At 35.4% G+C, this 19,283-nt stretch overlaps 2 annotated features.

Annotated features, from left to right (window-relative positions):
* Positions 270-859: an enhancer, noted in NCBI's record as "OCT4-NANOG hESC enhancer chr16:46455425-46456014 (GRCh37/hg19 assembly coordinates)". NCBI's record gives its function as "activates a minimal SCP1, AML or CMV promoter by ChIP-STARR-seq in naive H9 embryonic stem cells {active_cell/tissue: H9 hESC(naive)}" and the evidence as "EXISTENCE:reporter gene assay evidence [ECO:0000049][PMID:30033119]".
* Positions 1,986-2,973: an enhancer, noted in NCBI's record as "OCT4-NANOG-H3K4me1 hESC enhancer chr16:46453311-46454298 (GRCh37/hg19 assembly coordinates)". NCBI's record gives its function as "activates a minimal SCP1, AML or CMV promoter by ChIP-STARR-seq in primed H9 embryonic stem cells {active_cell/tissue: H9 hESC(primed)}" and the evidence as "EXISTENCE:reporter gene assay evidence [ECO:0000049][PMID:30033119]".

Genomic DNA, 19,283 nt, shown 5'->3' with positions numbered 1-19,283 from the left:
CCATTCGATGATGATTTCATTAGATTCCATTTGATGATGATCCAATTCGATTCTATTCAATGATGATACTATTTGATTCCATTCAATAATTTCATTCGACTTCATTCGAAGATTCCATTCTATTCCATTCGATGGTGCTTCCATTCGTGTCCAATCGATGATTCCATTCGATTCCATTCAATGATGATTCCATTTGAGTCCTTTCGATGATTCCATTTGATTCCATGTGATGATGATTCCATCGAGTCCATTCGATGATTCCATTTGATTCCATTAGATGATGACTGCATTTGGTTCCATTTGATGATGATTCTAACGGACTCAATTCGATGACTCCATTCGATTCCATTCATTGATGATTCCATTCGATTCCATTTGATGATGATTCCATTCGATTCCATTCGATGATGATTCCATTCGATTCCATTCGATGATGATTCCATTCGATTCCATTCGATGATGATTCCATTCGATTCCTTTCAATGATGATTCCATTGGATTCCATTCGATGATTCCATTTGATTACATTAGATGATGATTCCTTTCGGGTCCGTTCGCTGATTCCATTCTATTCCAATCGATGATGATTCCATTTGATTATTCCATTCAACTCCATTTGATGTTTTCTTTCAATTCCACTCAATGTTGATTCCATTTGAGTCCATTCGATGATTCCATTCAAGTGCATTCCATGATTTCATTCGATTCCATTCGATGATGATTGCATTCGTTTCCATTTGATGATTCCATTTGATTTCATTCGATGATGATTACATTAGATTCCATTCGATGAATCCATTTGAGTCCACTCAATGATTCCATTCGAGACCATTAATTGATTCCATTGAGTTTCATTCGATGATCACATTCGATTCTATTTGATGATGTTTCCATTCGATTCCATTTGAAGAAAATTCCATTCGATTCCATTGATGATGATTCCATTCAATTCTATTTGATGCCAATTCTATTCGATTCCATTTGATGATGATTCCATTGGATTCCATTCAATGATTAAATTCGATTCCATTCGATGACTATTCCATTCGATGACTATTCCATTCGATTCTATTCGGTGATTCCATTCGATTCCACTTGATATTGATTCCATTCGAGACCATTCAATGATTCCATTCAATTCATTCGATGATGATCCCATTCCATTCCATTCGATGATTCCTTTTGACTCCATTTGATGTTGATTCTTTTCTATTCCATTCGATGATGATTCCATTCGATTCCATTCGATGATTCCATTCGATTCCATACGAGGATGATTCCATTCGAGTCCATTCGATGATTCCATTCAATTCTATTTGATGATGATTCCATTCGATTCCATTCAATGATTCCTTTTGATTCATTTCGATGATTATTCCATTCGAGTCCATTCGGTGATTCCTTTTGATTCCAACTGAAGATGATTCCATTCGATTCCATTTGATGACAGCATTCGATACCATTCGTTGATGATTCCATTTGAGTGCATTCCATGATACCAATTGATTCCATTCAATGGTGAATCCATTCGATTTCACTTGATTCCATTCAATTCCATTCTATGATGATTACATTCAAGTCCATTTGATGATTCCATTTGACTCCTTTTGATGATGATTCCATTCGATTCTATTCGATGATGATTCCATTTGATATCATTCAATGCTGATTCCATTCACTTCCATTTGATTATTCCATTTGATTCCATTCGATGATTCTATTCGATTACATTTGAGGATGATTCCATTTGATTCCATTCGATGATTCCATTCAATTCTATTCGATGTTGATTCCATTCGATTTCATTCAATGATGACTGCATTCGATTCCATTTGATGATTACATTTGATTCCATTTCATGATGATGGCGATCGATTACGTTCGATGATTCCATTCGATTCATTTGATGATTCCATTTGATTCCATTTCATAATGATTCCATTCGAGTCCATTCGATGATTCCATTTGAGCCCATTCGTTAATTCCATTTGAGTACAATCCATGATTCCATTCGAATCCATTCAATCATTCCATTTGAGTCCATTCGATGATGATTCCATTCGAGTCCATTTGATGATTCCATTCGATTCCATTCGATGATGATTCCATTCGAGTCCACTGAATGATTCCATTCGATTCCATTTGATGATGATTCCATTCGAGTCCATTCAATGATTCCATTTGGGTACATTTAATGATTCCATTGAGTTCAATACGATGATGATTACATTGGATTCCATTCTATGATTCCATTTGATTCCTTTCGTTGATGATTCCATTCGATGATGATTCCATTCAATTTCATTCAATGATTATATTTGATTGCATTCGATGAAGATTCAATTCTATAACCTTGCATGATTCCATCCGATGATGATTCTATTCAATTACATTGGATTATGAATCCATTCTTTCCATTGGATGATGATTCCATTCGAGTCCATTTGATGATTCTATTTGATTCCATTCTCCGATGATTACTTTCGAGTCCATTCGATGATTCCACTCGATTCCATACGATGATGATTCCGTTCAATTCCATTCGATGATTCCATTCTATTCCATTCAATGATGATTCCATTTGAGTAAGTTAGATGATTCCATTCAATTCCCTTCGATGATGATTCTATTCGTGCCCATTAGATGATTCCACCCGATTCCATTTGATGATGATACTATTTAAGTCCATTCAATGATTCCATTTGATTCCATTCAATGATGATTCCATTCGATTCCATTCATTGGTGATTCCATTCATTTCCACTCACTGATTCCATTCCATTCCATTTGACAATGATTCCATTCGATGATTCCACTCGATTCCACTTGACGATGATTCCATTCGATTCCATTCCATGATTCCATTTGATTCCATTCCATGATGGTTGCCTTTGATTCCATTCGATTCCATTTGATGATGATTCCTTTTGATTCCATTTGATAATTCCATCTGATTCTATTCGAGGATTCCATTCGATTTCATTGGATGATAATTTCATTCGAGTCCATTCGATGACTTCATTTAAGTACATTCAATGATTACATTCGAGTCCATTTGATGATTCCATAATATTCCATTTTACTATGATTCCATTAGAGTCCATTCGATGACTCCATTCAAGTCCATTCGATAATTCCATACGAATCCATTCAATGATTCCATTAGATTCCATTTGATTATTCCATTCGAGTCCATTTGATCATTACATTCGAGTCCATTCTGTGAATCCATTGGATTTTTGATGATGATCCCATTCGATTCCATTTCATGATGATCCCATTCAACTACATTTGATGATGATTCCATTCGAGTCCATTCGATGATTTCATTCGATTCCATTCAATGATGATTACATTCGAGTCCTTTCGATGATTCCATTCGAGACCCTTCATTGATTCTATCCAATTTCATTTGAGGATGTTTCCATTCGAGTCCATTCGATGATTCCACTTGATTCCATTTGATGATTCCATTGGAGTCCATCCGATTATTCCATTGGAGTCCATCCGATTATTCCATTAGAGTCCAATCGACGATTCCATTCAATTCCTTTTGATGATAATTCTATTTGAGTCCATTCGATGATCATTCCCTTCAATTCCATTCAATAATTCCGTTCGATTCTATTCAATGATTCCCTGCGATTCCTTTCCATGATGATTCCATTCCATTCCATTCAATGATTCCATTTGATTCTATTCCATGATGATTCCTTTCGATTCCATTTGCTGATGATTCCATTCGATTCCATTTGATGACGACTGCATTAGGTTCCATTAGATGATGATTCCAAAGGATTCCATTCAATTTCTCCATTTGATTCCATTTGTTGATGATTGCATTCGATTACATTACATGATGATTCCATTAGATTCCACTCGATGATGATTCCATTCGATTCCATTCGAAGACGATTGCATTCGATTCCATTCAATGATGATTCCATTCGATTCCATTCGATGTTTCCATTCGGTTCCATTTGATGATTATTCCATTCGAGTAAATTCAATGATTCCATTCAACACCATTCGATGATGATTCCAATCGAGTCCATTCAATGATTCCATTCAAGTCCACTTGATGATTCCCTTCAATTCCATTCGATGAAGATTCCATTCGAGTCCATTCCGTGATTCCATTCGATTCCATTCGATGTTGATTCCATTCAAGTCCATTCGATGATTCCATTCGATTGCATACGACGATTCCATTCTATTCTATTTAATGATGATTCCATTTGAGTCCTTTTGATGCTTCCATTCGAGTCCATTTAATGATCCCGTTGGGTTCAATTCGAAGATGACTACATTGGATTCCATTCTATGATTCCATTCAATTCCACTCCTTGATGATTCTGTTTGATTCCATTCGATGATTCCATCCAAGTCCATTCGATGATTCCATTTGAGTCCATTCGATGACACCATTCGATTCCATTCGATGATGATTCCATTTGAGTCCATTCGATGACGATTCCATTCGAGTCCATTCGATGATTTCATTCGTTTCCATTTGATGATGATTCCATTCGTGTCCGTTCGATGATTCCATTCTATTCCATTCCTTCATGATTCCATTTGATTCCATTCGATGATGATTCCATTCGATTCCCTTCATTCATGATTCCATTGGATTCCTTTCAATGATGATTTCATTCAACTCCATTCGATGATGATTCCATTCGATTTCATTTGATGATTCTGTTCGTTTCCATTCGATGATGATTCCATTCTATTCCAATCGATGTTTCCATTCGATGTCATTTGATGATGACTCCATTCTATTCCATTTGATGATTCCATTCGATTCCATTCAATGATGATTCCATTGGTGTCCATACGATAATTACATTTGATTGCATTCGATGATGATTCCATTTGCATCCATTTGATGATTCCATTCGATTCCATTTGATGATGACTTCATTTGATGCCATTCGATGATTCCATTCATTGATGTTTCCATTTGAATCCATTCAATGATTCCATTCGTTTCCATTTGATGATGATTCCATTTGATTCCATTCAATGTTTACATTTGATTTCGTTCGATGATGATTCCATTCGATTCCATTCGATGGTTTCATTCGATTCCATTCAATGATCATTCCATTCGATTCCATTCGATGATTCCTTTCGAGTCCATTCCATGATTCCATTTGATTCCATTCGATGACACCATTCGATTCCTTTTGATGATGATTCCATTCGAGTCCATTTGATGATGATTCCATTTGAGTCCATTCAATGATTCCATTTGGTTCCATTTGATGATGATTCCATTGGATTCCATTCAATGATTTGATTCGATTCCATTCGTTCATGATTCCACTTGAATCCATTCTATGATGATTCCATTCGATTCCCTTCATTGATAATTCCATTAGATTCCATTCTATGATGATTCCATTTGACTCCATTCGCTGATGATTCCATTCCATTTCATTTGATGGTTCCATTCGATTCCATTCGATGATGATTCCATTCAATTCCATTCGATGATTCCATTTGAATCGATTCGATGATGATTCCATTTGGTTTGATTCAATCACGAGCCATTCGATTCAATTCCATGATGATTCCATTTGATTCAATTCGATGATGTTTTCATTCGATTCCATTCGATGATGCTTCCAATCGATTCCATTCAACAATGATTCCATTCGAGTCCATTTGATGATGATTCCATTCGAGTCCGTTGAGTGATGATTCAATTCGATTTCATTCGATGTTTCTATTCGATTCCATTTGATGATGATTCCATCTGATTTCATTCAATGATTCCATTTGATTCAATTCAGTGATTATTCCATTCGATTCCATTTGATGATGATTTCATTTGATTCCATTCGATGATGATTCCATTCGGCTCCATTCGATGATTCCATTCGACTCCCTTCGATGATTCCTTTTGAGTCCATTTGATGATTCCATTGGACTCCATTTGATGATGATTCCATTCAATGATTCCATTCGATTCTATTCAATGATGATTCCATTCAATTTCGTTCGATGCTGATTCCTTTCAATTCAATTCGATGATTCTATTTGATTCCATTTGAAGATTCCATTCGATTACATTCAACGATGATTCCATTCGATTCCATTCGATGATTCAATTCGATTCTATTCATTGATGATTCCATTCGATTCCATTCAATGATGACTGCATTCGATTCCATTCGATGATTTCATTTGATTCCATTTGATGATGATTCTGATCATTTCCATTCGATGTTTCCATTTGATTCCATTCAATGATTCCATTTGATTCCATTCAATAATGATGCCATTCGACTTCTTTCGATGATTCCATTCGAGCCCATTCTATAATTCCATTTGAGTCCAATCGATGATTCCATTCAAGTCCGTTCGATGATTCCATTTGAGTCCATTCAATGATGATTCCATTTGCGTCCATTCAATGATTCCTTTCGAGCCCATTCGATGATTCCTTATGATTCCATTTGATAATGATTCCATTCGAGACCATTCGATGATTCCGTTCAATTAATTTGATGATGATTCCATTCAATTCCATTCAATGATTCCATTAGATTCCATTTGATGATGATTCCATTCGATTCCATTCGATGATGATTCCATGGCATTCCATTCGATGATACCTCCTTTCGTTTCCATTCGATGATGATTCCTTTGGATTCCATTTGATGATGATTCCATTCGACTCCATTTGATGTTGATTCTTTTCAATTCCATTCGATGATGGTTCAAATGGTTCAATTTGATTCCATTCGATGATGATTCCATTCAAGTACATTCGATGATTCCACTCGTTTCCATTCGATGATGATTCCATTTGGTTCCATTCGATGATTCCATTCAATTCTTTCGATGATTATTCCATTCGAGTCCATTCCGTGATTTATTTCAATGCCAATTGAAGATGATTCCATTCGATTCCATTCGATGATACCATTTGATACCATTCATTGACGATTCCATTCGAGTGCATTTGATGATACTATTCGATTCCATTCGATGATTATTCCATTCAATTCCATTCGATGGTGATTCCATTTGGGTCCATTCAATCATTCCTTTCGTTTGCATTTGATGATGATTCCATTTGAGTACATTCAGTGATTCCATTCAAGTCCACTTGATGATTCCTTTCGATTCCATTCGATGATGATTCCATTCCAGTCAATTCGAATATTCCATTCAATTCCACTCGATGATTATTCCCTTCGAGTCCATTCGATGATTCCTTTCTATTCCATTTGATGATGACTCCCTTCGAGTCCATTCGATGATTGCATTCCAGTCCATTCAATGATTCCATTTGATTCCATGAGATGATGATTCCATCGAGTCCATTCGATGATTCCATTTGATTCCAGTCAATGATGACTGCCTTCAGTTCCATTCAATGATGATTCCAACGGACGCCATTTGATGACTCCTTTTGATTGCATTCATTGATGATTCCATTTGATTCCATTTGATGATGATTTCATTCGATTCCATGATAAGATGATTCCATTAGATTCCATTTGATGATGATTCAATTTGATTCCATTCAATGATGATTCCATTCAATGTTTCCACTTGATTCCGTTTGATGATGATTCCATTCGAGTCCATTCGATGATGATTCCATTCGATTCCATTATATGATGATTCCATTCGACTCCATTTGATGATGATTCAATTCGATTCCATTCAATGATGATTCTATTAGATTCAATTCAATAATTCGAGTTGATTCCATTCGATGATGATTCCTTTTGAGTCCATTCGATGATGATTCCATTCGAGTCCATTCGATGTTTCCTTTCGATTCCACTCGACATTGATTCCATTTGAGTGCATTCAATGATTCCATTCGAGTGCATTCCATGATTTCATTCGATTCCATTCTATGATGATTCCATTCGATTCCATTTGATGATTCCTTTCGAGTACATTAAATGATTCCATTCGATTCCATTCGATGATGACTCCATTCGAGTTCTTTCAATGATGATTCAATTCGATTACATTCAATGAGTCTGTTGTATTCCATTCTTTGTTTTACTTCGATTCTTTTTGATGATGATTCCATTCGATTTCATTTGATGATCCCATTTGATTCTATTCAATGATGACTCCATTCGATTCCATTTGATCAAAATTCCATTCGATTCCATTCAATGATGATTCCATTTGATTCTATTCAATGATGACTCCATTCGATTCCATTTGATCAAAATTCCATTCGATTCCATTCAATGATGATTCCATTCAATTCTAATTGATGCCGACTCTATTTGATTCCATTCAATTCCATTCGATGATTCCATTCGATTCCATTCGATGATGGTTCCATTCGAAACCATTCGACGATTCCATTGAATTCCATTCCATGATGATTCCATTCAAGTCCATTCGATGATTCCATTCAAAACCATTCGATGATTCCATCTGATTCCATTCAATGATGCTTCCAATCGAGTCCATTCGATGATTCCATTTGATTCTATTCCATGATGATTCCATTGAAGCCCAGTCGATGACTGCATTAGAGTTCATTTAATAATCCCATTCAATTCCATTTGATTACGATTCCATTCAATTCTATCTCTGTTCAGTTCCATTTGATGATGAATCCATTCGATTCCTTTCAATGATGATTTCATTCAGTTACATTCGATGATGATTCCATTGTATTCCATTCGATGATGATTCCATTGTATTCCATTCGATGATGATTCCATTCTTTCCATTCAGTGATGATTCCATTTGTGTCCATTCGATGTTTCCATTCGATTCCAATTGGTGATTATTCCATTTGAGTCCATCGGATGATTCCATTTGATTCTATTCAATGATGATTCCACTCGGTGTCATTTGATTATTCCATTTGATTTCATTTGATGATGATTCCAGTGATTTCTTTTTGATGAATCCTTTCCATTCCATTCGATTATTCCATTCGAGTCCATTCCATGATTCCACTCGATTCCATTCGATGATGACTCCATTCGTTTCCATTCGATGTTTCAATGCAATTTCATTTTATGACGATTACATTTGATTTTATTCAATGATTCCATTTGATTCCCTCTGATGATGACTCCATTCGAGTCCATTCTATGATTCCATTCAATTCTATGCGATGATTATTCCATTCTAGTCCATTAGATGATTCCTTTCAATTCCATTCTATGATTATTCCATTTGAGTCCTTTTGACACTTCCATTCGAGTTCATTTGTTGATTCTATTCGAGTCCAATTTTTCATTCCCTTCAATTCCCATCGATGATGATTCCGTATGATTCCATTCGATGATGATTCCATGTGATTCCATTCAATGATGATTGCATTCTAGTCCATTTGATGATTCCATTCAATTCCATTCGATGATGATTCCATTTGATTCCATTAAATGGTGATTCCATTCATTTTCATTCATTGATTCCATTCCATTCCAATCGACATTGATTCCACTCGATTCCATTCGATGATTCCACTCGATTAAACTCGACAATGATTCCATTCGATTCTATTTGATGATTCCATTTGATTCTATTCGATGATGATTCCATTCAAATCATTCAATGTTGATTGTGTTCGATTCCATTAGATGATTCCATTCAATTCCATTTGATGATGATTCCGTTCAATTCCAATTGATGATTCCATTTGATTCCATTTGAGGATTTCACTCGATTCCATTCAATAATGATTCCATTCGAGTCCATTCAATGATTCCATTCGAGTTCATTTGGTGATTCCGTTCAATTCCATTCCATGATGATTCCATTAGAGTCCATTCTATGATTCCATTCGATTCCATTTGATTCCATTCAATGATGATTCCATTAGAGTCAATTCGATGATTCCATTCGATTCCATTCGATGATGTCTCCATTCGAGTCCATTCGATGATTCCATCCGATTCAATTCAATGATGATTCCATTCGAGTCCCTTCATTAATTCCATTCGATTCCATTCTCTGATGACTACATTTGTTTTCATTCAATGATGATTCCAAAGGATTACATTCGATTTCTCCATTCGATTCCATTCCTTGCTGATTCCATTCAATTCCTTTAGATGATGACTCCATTAGATTCCATTCGTTGATGACTTCATTGGATTCCATTTGATAACCATTCCATTCGATTCTAATCAATGATGATTCTGTTTGATTCCATTAGATGATTCCATTTGATTCCATTCAATGATGACTGCCTTCGATTGCATTCGATGATTCCATTCGATTCCATTCAAAGATGATTCCATTTGATTCAATTCGATAATATCATTTGATTCCATCCGATGATTCCTATGGATTCCATTTGATGATGATTCCATTTGAGTCCATTCAATGACGCCATTAAATTCCATATGATGATGATTCCATTCGAGTGCATTGGATGATTCCAATCGATTCCATTTAAAGATGATTCCATTCAAGTCCATCCAATGACTCTTTTCAGTTCCATTCTATAATGATTCAGTTCAAGTCCATTTGATGATTCGATTCAAGTCCTTTCCATGATTCCATTTGATTCCATTCAATGATGATTCTGTTTGAGTCCATTCGATGCTTCCCTTTGGGTCCATTTGATGATTCCATTCGAGTCCAACTGATCATTCCATTCAATTCCATTCTATGATGATTCCGTATGATTCCATTCGATGATGATTCCATGTGAATCCATTCGATGATGATGCCTTACGATTGCATTCGATTATGATTCATTTCGAGTTCATTCGATGATTCCACATGATTCCATTCAATGATGATTACATTCGAATACATTCGATGATGAGATTCCATTCCATTCGATGATGATTCCATTCAAATTCGTTCGATGATTCCATTTGATTCCATTCAATGATAATTCCATTCGAGTCCGTTCGATGATTCCATTCTATTCCATTCAATGATGATTCCATTCGTGTCCATTGGATGATTGCATTCGAGTCCACTCGATGATTCCATTTGATTCCATTTGATGATGATTCCATTTGAGTCCATTCGATGATTCCTTTCGATTCCATTCGAGGATGATTGCATTCGGTACAATTCGATGATTCCACTTGATTCCATTTGATGATTCCATTTGATTCCATGCGATGATGATTCCATTTGATTCCATTCCATGATTCCGTTAGATTACATTCGATGATGTTTCCATTTGAGTCCATTCGATGATTCCATTCGATTACATTCGATGAAGATTCCATTCGAGTCAATTAAATGATTCCATTCGATTCCATTATTTGATAATTCCATTTGATTCCATTCGATGATTCTATTCGATTCCATTCAATGATGATTCCATTCGATTTCATTCTATGATTACATTCAATTTCTTTTAATGATGATTCCATGTGTGTCCATTCGATGATTCCATAAGATTTCATTTGATGAAGATTCCATTAGATTTCATTCGATGATTCCATTAGATTCCATTCATTGATGATTCCATTTGATTCCATTCGATGATGATTCCATTCGATTCCCTTCATTGATGATTCCATTGGATTCCATTCGATGATGATTTAATTCGACTCCATTTGATGATGATTCCATTTGATTTCATTCAATGATTCCATTCGATTCCATTCGGTGATGATTCCATCTGGTTTAATTTGATGATTCCATTCGATTCCTTTCAGTGATGATCCCATTCAATTCCATTTGAGGATGATTTCATTTGATTCCATTGCATGATGATTCCATTCGAGTCCATTCACTGATTCCATTCGAGTCCAGTCGATGATTCCATTCGAGTACATTTGATGATTCCTTTGGACTCCATTTGATGGTGAATCCATTCAATGATTCCATTTGATTCTATTCAATGATGATTCCATTCGATTTCGTTTGATGCTGATTCCTTTCAATTCCATTCAATGATTCCATTAGATTCTATTTGAAGATTCCATTCGAATACATTCGACGACGATTGCATTCGATTCCATTTGATGATTCAGTTTGATTCTATTCTACGATGATTCCATTTGATTCCATTTGATGATGACTGCATTCAATTCCATTCTAGGATTCCACCTGATTCCATTTCATGATGATTCCAATCGATTTCATTCAATGATTCCATTAGATTCCATTCGATGATTCCATTTGATTCCATTCGATAATGATTCCATTCGAGTCCATTTGATGATTCCATTCGCGCCCATTTGATAACTCCATTTGAGTCCAATCGATGATTCAATTCGAGTCCATTTTATCATTCCATTTAAGTCCATTTGATGATGATTCCATTTGAGTGCATTCGATGATTCCATTCGAGTCCATTCGATGATTCAATTCGAATCCATTTGATGATTCCTTTCGATTCGATTAGATAATGATCCCATTCGAGACCATTCGATGATATCATTCAATTAATTCGATGATGATTCCATTCAATTCCATTCGATGGTTCCATCAGATTCCATTTGATGATGATTCCATTCGATTCCATGCAATTCCACTTGATGATGACTCCTTTCATTTCCATTCGATGATGATTCCATTCAGTTCCATTCGATGATTATTCCTTTGGATTCCATTTGATGATGATTCCATTCGACTCCATTTGGTGTTGATCCTTTTTGATTCCATTTGATGATGATTCAATTTGATTCCATTCGATGATGATTTTATTTGAGTCCGATCAATGATTCTGTTCGATTCCATTTGACGATCATTCTGTTCGATTTGATTCGATGATTCCATTCGATTCCTTTCGATGATTATTCCATTCAAGACCATTCAGTGATTTATTTTGATGCCAATTGAAGATTATTCCACCTGATTCCATTCGATGATAACATTCATTGATGATTCCATTCGAGTGCATTCGATGATACTATTTGATTCCATTCAATGATGATTCCATTCAATTCCATTCTATGATGTTTCCATTCAAGTCCATTTGATGATTTCATTGGACTCCATTTGATGATGATTCCATTCAATGATTCCATTTGATTCCATTCAATTGTGATACCATTCGGGTCCATTGGATGATTCCATTCGCTTGCATTCGATGATGATTCCATTTGAGTACATTCAATGATTCCATTCAAGTCCATTGGATGATTTCTTTTGATTCCATTCGATGATGATTCCATTCGAGTACATTTAATGATTCCATTCTAGTCCATTGGATGATTCCTTTTGATTCCATTCGATGATGATTCCATTCGAGTCCATTCGATGATTCCATTCGATTCCACTCGATGATAATTCCATTCTAGTCCTTTCAATGACTTTTTCTGATTCCATTCAATGATGATTCCATCACGTCCATTCGATTATTCCATTTGATTCCAGTTGATGTTGTCTGCATTCGGTTCCATTCGATGATGATTTTAACGGACTCCATTCCATGACTCCATTCGATTCCATTCATTGATGATTCCAATTGATTCCATTCGATGATGATTCCATTCAATTCCATTTGATGATTCCATTTGATTCCATTCGATGATGATTCCAATCGAGTCCATTCGATGATTCCATTAGATTCCATTCAATGATGTTTCCATTCGAGTCCATTCGATATTTCCTTTCGATTCCAGCTGACGTTGATTCCATTTGAGTCCATTCGATGATTCCATTCGAGTGCATTCCATGATTTCATATGATTCCATTCCATGATGATGCCATTCGAGTACATTCGATGATTCCATTCAAGTCCATTATATGATTCCATTTGATGATGATTCCATTCAACTCATTTCAATGATGATTCCATTCGATTCCATTCAATGAGTATGTTGTATTCCATTATTTGTTTTAATTCGATTATTTTTGATGAAGATTCTGTTCGATTTATTCGATGATCCCATTCGATTCTATTCAATGATGATTCCATTCGATTCCATTTGATGAAAATTCCATTCGATGATGATTCCATTCTATCCTATTCGATGCCGATTCTATTCAATTCCTTTCGATGATGATTCCATTCGATTCCATTTGATGATTCCATTCGATTCCATTCGGTAATGATTCCATTTCAGACCTTTCGATGATTCCATTCAATTCCATTCAATGATGATTCCATTCGAGTCCATTCGATAATTCCATTCAAGTCCATTCTATGATTCCATCTGTTTCCATTTGATGATGATTCCATTCGAGCCCATTCGATGATTGCATTCGATTCCATTCCATGATGATTCCATTGAAGCACAGTCGATGATTGCATTCGTTTCCATTTGATGATTCCATTCGATTCCATTTGATTACGATTCCATTCAATTCCATTCGATGATGACTCTGTTTGGTTCCATTTGATGATGAATCCATTCGATTCCTTTAAATTATGATTCCATTCAATTACATTCAATGATGATTCCATTCAATTACATTCAGTGATGATTCCTTTCGATTTCATTCGATGACGATCCTATTTGATTCGATTTCATGATGATTCCATTCAATTCCATTCGGTGATGATTCCATTTGTGTCCATTCGATGTTTCCTTTCGATTCCATTCAATGATTAGTCCATTCGTGTCCTTTAGATGATTCCATTCGATGATGATTCCATTTTGTGCCATTCAATTATTCCATTTGATTTCACTCGATGATGATTCCATTGATTTCGTTTGATGACTCCTTTCCATTCCATTCGATGATTATTATATATGAGTCTATTCGATGATTCCATTTGATTCCATTTGATGATGACTCCATTCTTGTCCATTCCATGATTTAATGCAATTTCATTTGAAGATTATTACGTTTGATTCTATTTGGTGATACCATTCGATTCCATTTGGTGATGATTCCATTCGAGTCCATTCGATGATTCCATTCAAATACATTTGATTATTCCTTTCGATTCCATTTGATGATGATTCCATTAGAGTCGATTCGATGATACCATTTGATTCCATTCAATGGTGATTCCATTCGTGTCCATTCGATGATTACATTTGATTCCATTGGATGATGATTCCAATTGAGACCATTCGATGATTTTATTGGATTTTATTTGATGATGATTCCATTTGATTCCGTTTGATGATTCCATTCTATTCCATTCAATGATGATTACATTTGAGTCTATTCGATGATTGCATTCGACTCCATGTAATGATTCCATTAGGTTCAATTCAATGATGATTACATTGGATTCCATTCAATGATCCTTGTGATTCCATTCGGTGATTATTCCATTTGATTCCTGTCAATGACGATTCCATTTGATTCCATTCTTTGATGATTCCATTTGATTCCATTCGATGATGATTCGATTTGATTCCATTCGATGATGATTCCATTCGATTCCATTCGATGATGATTCCATTCGATTTCATTTGATGATTCTCTTCGATTCCATTCAATGTTGATTCAATTCTATTCCATTCGAGGATTCCATTCAATTCCATCTGATGATGATTCCAATCGATTCCATTCGATGATGATTCCCTTTGATTGCATTCGATGATTATTCCATTCGAGTGCATTCGAAGACAACATTCGATTCCATTCTATCATAATTCCACTCGAGTCCATTCGAAGATTAGATTCGATTCCATTCAATGATGATTCCGTTCAAATCCATTCAATGATTCCATTCCATTCCAATTGATGATGATTCTGTTTGATTCCATTTGATGATGATTCCATTCGATTCCATTTGATGATCATTCCATTTGATTTCATTTGATGATTCATTTTGTTTCCATTCGAACATTATTCTATTCTATTACATTCGATGATTCTATTCAATTCCATTTGATGAGGATTCTATACGATTCCATTTGATGATGACTCCATTCGACTCCATTCCATAATGATTCAATTCGTGTCTATTCAATGTTTCCTTTTGATTCCATTCGACAATGATTCCATTCGAGTCAGTTAGATCATTCCATTCAATTCCATTTGATGATGATTCCATTCGATTATTCCTTTCTATTTCATTCGATGATGATTACATTAGAATCCATTTGGTTATTCCATTCCATTCGATGATGATTTCATTTTAGTCCAGTAGATGATTCCATTGGATTCCATTCGACGATGATTCCATTCGAGTCCATTTGATAATTCAATGCGATTTCATTCAATGACGATTACATTCGATTCTATTTGATGATTCCATTCGATTCCATTTGATGATGACTGCATTCTAGTCCACTCGATGATTCCATTCAATTCTATTCGAAGATGATTCCATTGGATTCCATTCCATGATTCCATTCGATGATGATTCTTTCAGTAACATTTGATTATGATTTATTTCGAGATCATTCAATGATTCCAAATGATTCCATTCAATGATGATTCCATTCGAATCCATTTGATGATTCCATTCGATTCCATTTGATGATGATTCCATTCTTGTCCAATCGATGATTCCATTCTATTCCATTAGATGATGATTCCATTCAAGTCCATTCGATGATTGCATTTGAGTCCATTCAATGATTCCATTCGATTCCATTCAATGATGATCCCAATCGAGTCCATTCAAGATTGCATTGAATTCCATTCGAGGATGACTGCATTCGGTTCCACTGGATGATTCCATTCAATTCCATTCGATGATTCCATTTGATTCCATGCGATGATGATTCCATTCAATTCCATTCCATGTTTCCATTCGTTTCCATTCGATGATGATTCCATAAAAGTCCATTCGATGATTCCATTCTAGTGCCTTCATTGATTCCATCCAATTCCATTTGATGATGATTAAATTCGAGTCCTATCGATGATTCCATTTGTTTACATTTGATGAAGATTCCATTCGAATTCTTTAAATGATTCCATTCGATTCCATTCATTGATGATTCCATTTGATTCCATCCGATGATTCTATTCTATTCCATTCAATGATGATTCCATTTGATTCCATTATATGATTACATTCGATTTCATTCGATGATGAATCCATACGAGTCCATTCGATGATTCCATAAGATTCCCTTCGATGATGATTCCATTCAAGTCCATTCGATGATTCCATTCGTTTCTATTTGGTAATGATTCCATTGGATTTCATTCAATGATTCCATACGATTCCATTTGTTGTTGATTCCATTCGATTCCATTTGATGATGATTCCATTCGATTCCCTTCATTGACGATTCCATTGGATTCCATTCGATGATGATTTCATTCTACTCCATTCGATAATGATTCCATTCTATTTCTTTTGATAATTCCATTGGATTCCATTCGATGATGATTCCGTTTGTTTCCATTCGATGATTCCATTCGATTCCATTCAATGATGATTCCATTCAATTCCATTCGATGATTCCATTCAATTCCATTTGATGATTCCATTCTATTCCATTCAATGATGATTCCATTCGATTCCATTCGATGATTCCATTCTATTCCATTTAGTGATGATTCCATTCGATTCCATCCGATGATGATTTCATTAGATTCATTTCAATGATGATTCCATTCGAGGCCATTCAATGATTCCTTAAGATTCAATTCGATGATGATTCAATTCGAGTCCATTCGATGATTTCATTCGAGTCCCTTCGTTGATTCCATCCGATTCAATTCGATGATGATTCCATTCGAGTCCATTTGATGAATCCATTCAATTCCATTCAATGAATCCATTCGAGTCCATTCGATTATTCCATTCGAGTCCATTCGATGATTCCATTCGATTCCATTCTGTGATGATTCCATTCGATTCCATCCCATGATGATTTCATTGTATTCCATTCGATGATGATTCCATTCAGGTCCATTCGATGATTCCATTTGATTCCATTCAATGATGATTCAATTCGAGTCCATTCGATGATTCCATTCGAGCTCCTTCATTGATTCCATCTGATTCCATTTGATGATGCTTCCATTAGAGTCCAATCGATGATTCCATTCGATAGCATTCGATGATTTAATTCTAGCTATTCGATTATTCCATTCGTGTCCATTTGATGATTATATTTGATCCCATTCGATGACGATTCCATTCAATTCCATTTGATGATACCGTTCAATTCCATTTGATGATTCCCTTCGATTTATTTCAATGATGATTCCATTCCATTCCATTCGATGATTCCATTGGATTCTATTCGATGATGATTCCTTTCTATTCCATTCGATGATGATTCCCTTCAATTCCATTCGATGATGATTTCTTTCGATTCCACTCGATGATGATTGCATTCGATTGCATTTGATGATGACGGCATTAATTTCCATTCTATGATGGTTCCAACGGATTCCATTCGATTTCTTCATTCGATTCCATTCATTGATGATTCCATTCGATTCCATTAGATGATAATTCCATTAGAATCCATACGATGATGATTCCATTAGATTCCATTCAATGATGATTCCATTCGATTCCATTCAATTATGATTCCATTCGATTCCATTCGATGATTCCATGCGATTCCATTCGATGATGACTGCATTCGTGTCCATTCGATTATTCCATTTGATTCCGTTTGATGATGATTTCATTCGAGTCCGTTCAATGATTCCATTCAAGTCCATTCCATGATTCCTTTTGATTCCATTCGATGATGATTCCATTCGAGTCCATTTGATGATTCTATTAAATTCCATTCCCCGATGATTACTTTCAAGTCCATTCGATGATTCCACTTGATTCCATATGATGATGACTCCATTCGATTCCATTTGATGATTCAATTCTATTCCATGAGATGATGATTCCATTCGAGTACATTAGATGATTCCATTCAATTCCATGCAATGATGATGCTATTCGTGTCCTTTAGATGATTCCATTCAATTCCATTCGATGATGATTCCATTCTATTCAATCCAATGATGATTCCATTAGTGTCCATTAGATGATTTCGTTTGATTCCATTCGACGTAGATTCCATTTTTTTTCCATTCAGTGATGATTCCATTCGGGTCCGTTAGATGCTTCCATTTGATTCCATTCGATGATGATTCCATTATATTAAATTCGATGTTGATTCCATTTGAGTCCATTAGATGATTCCATTCGATTCCATTCTCCTATGATTAATTTCGAGTCCATTCGATAATTCCACTCAATTCCATACGATGATTGCTCCATTCAATTCCATTCAATGATTCCATTCTATTCCATTAGATGATGATTCCATTCGACTACATTAGATGATTCCATTCGATTCCATTTGATGATGATCCCACTCTATTCAATCCAATGATGATTCCATTCGTGTCCAATAGATTATTCAATTTGATTCCATTTGATTATGATGCCATTTTATTCCATTCAGTGATGATTCCATCCCTGTCCGTTAGATGATTCCATTTGATTCCATTCAGTGATGATTCCATTA

Source organism: Homo sapiens, chromosome 16 (assembly GCF_000001405.40).
Source record: "Homo sapiens chromosome 16, GRCh38.p14 Primary Assembly".
Taxonomy (NCBI): domain Eukaryota; kingdom Metazoa; phylum Chordata; class Mammalia; order Primates; family Hominidae; genus Homo; species Homo sapiens.
Note: the sequence above shows the minus strand (reverse complement) of the source record. Positions and strands in the feature narration are given on the sequence as shown.